This window comes from Homo sapiens, chromosome 8 (assembly GCF_000001405.40).
Source record: "Homo sapiens chromosome 8, GRCh38.p14 Primary Assembly".
In the NCBI taxonomy this organism is placed as follows: Eukaryota; Metazoa; Chordata; class Mammalia; order Primates; family Hominidae; genus Homo; species Homo sapiens.
The window spans coordinates 79331841-79336309 of NC_000008.11; the positions used below are offsets into that span (position 1 = coordinate 79331841).

The 4469-nt window shown below is 36.0% G+C and overlaps 1 non-coding gene across 1 annotated transcript; it reads left to right on the plus strand.

The window, feature by feature from the left end:
- The first annotated feature begins 347 nt into the window (after nucleotides 1-347).
- MIR12123 (microRNA 12123) lies at nucleotides 348-434 on the plus strand. Its single transcript, NR_162137.1, has one exon. It is a non-coding gene; the product is annotated as a microRNA 12123 (primary transcript).
- The last annotated feature ends 4035 nt before the right edge of the window (nucleotides 435-4469 follow it).

Genomic DNA, 4469 nt, shown 5'->3' on the forward strand with positions numbered 1-4469 from the left:
ACATAGGCGAATGATAAAGGAAAGATGCAAATCCAGGTAGTCATGCTCCATCACTGCTATGCAATGCAACAAATTGTCATGGAATCACACAAAATGAAATACTATTCAACACTAAAATGACTAAATATCTGTTACATACAACAACACGGATGAATCCCTAAAACAGTAGAAGTGAAAGAAATAAGGTATGCAAGTTTAAATTACAAGCTATTTCCAGGAAGTATCAACAGTTTCATACCAAAATGTATCCCCAGACCAACACTGTATGGCCCTGGAGATGCACCACAGAAAGACATTATGTAAACATGGCATATTGCCACTATTTAAAATAAAAATGATTGTATGGTAATACATTCGCTTATTTATTCATTCACAAAAGCTTTATTTATATACTCAGTAAAGCTTTTGTGAATGAGTAAACAAGTGAATGTATTACTTCACATTTTAAAAAGTATAGGCTGAAATGAATATGTATGAAATGAAAGTATGGCTGAAATGAATATGGGCTTTGTAGTAAACAGTGTGAAAGATGAAGCTACAATGGTAGGCCGGAATAAATTTGTCAATATCCTCGAAGTCAGAGCGAAAGTTAGGACTGCACCAACGGGGTAGTTTCTCAGAGCATTTACTTATAAGGAGCTGTGACAGATCATTGAGTGCTAGTAAATTATTAGAAAGGTAATGATGTTGAAAAAGTACATTTACCAGGATTCTCCTCAGAACAAGTTCTGAATGTGTTAGCAAAGAAAACTGATTAGCTACTTGTAAGAGAATGATACAGAGGAGTATGATTAAGCAACTACAGATGGCTCTAAACTGCCTCTTTTTACTGAGATAAAGTTAACATAAAATAAAGCGCAGAAATCTTAAGTGTTCACTTGGATAAATTTTGATAATTGTATACATCTGTGGAATCATCTCTGATAACAAAACAAGATATAAAATATCTCCATCTCCTAGAAAGTTTCATGTGCCCCTTCTAGCTAATTCTCTCTCCTATACAATATGTATCCATTCGTCCTATATTAGTTCTGCCTGCATTTGGGTCTCATATAAAAAGATGACTGCAATGTGGAGATTTTGGTGTCTTGTTTCTTTCACTTTCATTAATAAGTTGATAGAACAACTTATGTAAGTTTGGGGCCACAGCTGAATTGTGCATGATGAATAGAAGGAGGCTGAGTGCTTCCTTCTCCCCCTTTCTCATGGAATTCTCAGACTCATATCTAAATGATTGAATGAAAGTCTATAGCTTTAACAGAATGCCAAATTATTAACCTGGTAGAGGCACAAACAATTCCTGTCTGGCTTAAATATACCTTAGTTATGAATGTGGATTTTGTTTTAAAGATTCCAAGAAGTGACATACATAAATTTGTGTCCAATGGTAATACACTTTACACAATGTACTAGGAGCTGGGAAATAATTTAAAAGGCTGGTGAAACAGGCCAGGTGAAAAATAATGAATTAGAATAGTTAGAAGAAAACTGAGTTCAAGAGGTGCATAAACACTGCTCCTCAATGTGTGTGTGTGCATGCGCACGGGTGTTGTAGCAGAAAATAATTTTGTAGCTGTAGACTCTTTCTCTTTCCCTGCATTTACTGCATCCACACAACAGATTCTACAGATCCATTTGAACGAAAATATTCAGAGCAGCTGGTAAGCTGAGGTGTCCTCAACCTGCAAGCCCTGTGCCTCACACACACCAGTGCCTACCTGATGTAATCCATACTCTCTCAATATATCCTGGCTTTCTAGTTTGTTTCTTTTTAGAATGTCTCTGAACTCTTGGCCTTTCAAACATAGTAGCTTAGCTACAGTGCTCTAGTATCACTTCTGGAAACAACAGAACACAAAAATATCCAACTGAAATAGCATATGAGAATTATGTGAATATCAGACTCTGACCCAGGCCTAAATAGTACCTGTTTTGCTGTTTCTCAGACACTTTCTCACACACACACACACACACACACACACACACACACACACACAGGCAAGGACTCGTTGGAGATCAACGTTTTTATATCAGATTCAAAGAAAGATCAACAATTTATTATTTTTAGCTCAGAAGTTCCTGGAAAAGCTTACCTTTATCTTCTCTTTGCTATGACAGGCTTTGTCATTTTCCTAGCTGGCACATCAAACCATGAGCTCTACCCTTGACTGAAATAAAACAGGAAACTCATGGATTAGGTCACTTCAATACAATACACAGTCTCACTGTTTATTCAGTGGTATTGACCCACTATTCTAGAAGATTTGAAAAGACTGAAAGAAAAGAAGAATTGTGTTTAGAGAGAACCATTGTAACCGGTCTATTCCTAGAAACCTTACTATGCAGGTTTATCCCATAATTAAATTACTTCACTCTAGGTGGTTGGTCTATTGTTCATATTGTGTCTGCTCTTTTCCTTAAGTGATCTCTTATTTCAGTATTTTTTCAAAATTAAACATAAACCCTGAGTCAATCTTTCATTTTATAAAAATCAGGGATGTTAAACATGTGGTACTTGAGCAGAACTGCAATCCCTGATTAATTAAACATGAAGAGTACTCATAAAAGGCTACATGAGTTGGCAGCTTTCATAAAGAGAGGTTGTATGACATTTTGTGCATCACTGGCTAATCAGAGTCATTGGCCTTTGGGATGTCTGGAGCAAGAGCTGTGGCTGGGTCTGCAGAGAAGGTGACTTCATTTGGAAGGCAACATGCTTCAAAGTCATTAGGGGAAATGCATGCCAGCTCTGGCCCTGTAATGCTTTCATTGATTTTGCAAATCATTTATCTAGCAGCCATGAACACTAACTATACTGTATCAGAATCAGTAAGAAAGGAAGGCTTTATATATGTTACAGAGATTTGCTTAGTCCTCGATGGCTACTTCAGCATGCTCTGAAAGGTGCAGCCACACACAGTGAAAAGCAATACATGAGCGTTCTAGTTGGACAAAAAAGGCTCCCTCTGCCTTTTAATATAAAACTTGATGCAGGATTCTCCATGTTGGCACATCTTTCATTAAATTAAAATGCCAGGCTTCAAACAAAAATTTCTGGTGTGATGTTAGGATGCTTCCAGCCCTCTCTATGCAGGGAAAAGACTGCTAACTGATTGTAAAATCACAGCTATTTATCCAATTAGAGGGGAGCGGAATACAAGCTTCTATTAGGAAAAGAAATAAAGGCCAATATAGAATGTTTCTTCTTGCAACTAGGTCAATTTAGATACATATGAGTAGCCATGTATTTAATGGCAACCTCAGAATTCTAATACCTCCTCTGTGCTAAATAAAGTATGTGCAATAAGACCCAACACCCAATTAGCTCAATGAAAGATGAATAAGGTCAAATTCTACAAAACAAACTACACTAAAATGTTGAGAGTGAATTCACCATAATGGTAATATGTCAGCTAACTTCTGAAAATGAAATAATTTGTTTTATATTTTTATATTTCTTTTCAATTTGTCTTCACAGAAAATAGTGAATAGTGGCTTACATAAAAGGTATTTTATTTTTAAGACATCTAAGCATAAAGGTATATTGTATACTCCCACAAGAATGGCCATGATCAAAAAATAAAAATAATAATAGATGTTGGCGTGGATGTGGTGAAAAGGGAACACTCCTACTCTGCTGGTGGGAATGTAAACTAGTACAACCACTATGGAAAACAGTGTGGAAATTCCTTAAAGAACTAAAAGTAGAAATACCATTTGATACAGCAATCCCACTTCTGGGTATCTATCCAGTAGAAAAGAAGTCATTATATGAAAAAGTACTTGCACATCCATGTTTATAGCAGTACAATTCACAATTGCAAAAATTTGGAACCAACCCAAATGCCCAGCAATCGAAGAGTGGATAAAGAAACTATGATATACCTATATCTATCTATCTATCTATCTATCTATCTATCTATCTATCTATCACAGTTATCACACATATATGTGTATATATGTGTGTATATATACATATATGTGTGTATATATATTGTGCTAGATTATATATATATATATATATACACACACACACACACACATACAATGGAATACTACCCAGCCATAAAAGGAATGAATTAATGGCATTCGCAGCAACCTGTATGATACTAGAGACTATTATTCTAAGTGATGTAACTCAGGAATAGAAAAACCAAACATCGTGTGTTCTCACTCATTAGTGGAAACTAAGCTATGAGGATGCAAAGGCATAGGAATGACTCAATGGACTTTGGGGACCCAGGGGGAAAGAGTGGGAAGGGGGTGAGGGATAAAAGACTACAAATTGGGTTCAGAGTATACTGACTGGGTGATGGGTACACCAAAATCTCGCAAATCACCACTTACTCAGGTAACCAAATACCACCTGTTCCCCAAAAGCCTATGGAAATAAAAAAATTTAAATAAAAAAGACATCTAAGCATAAAAAGCAGTATTTGTTTTATAGCAAGATTTGTTACAAAGTTGTC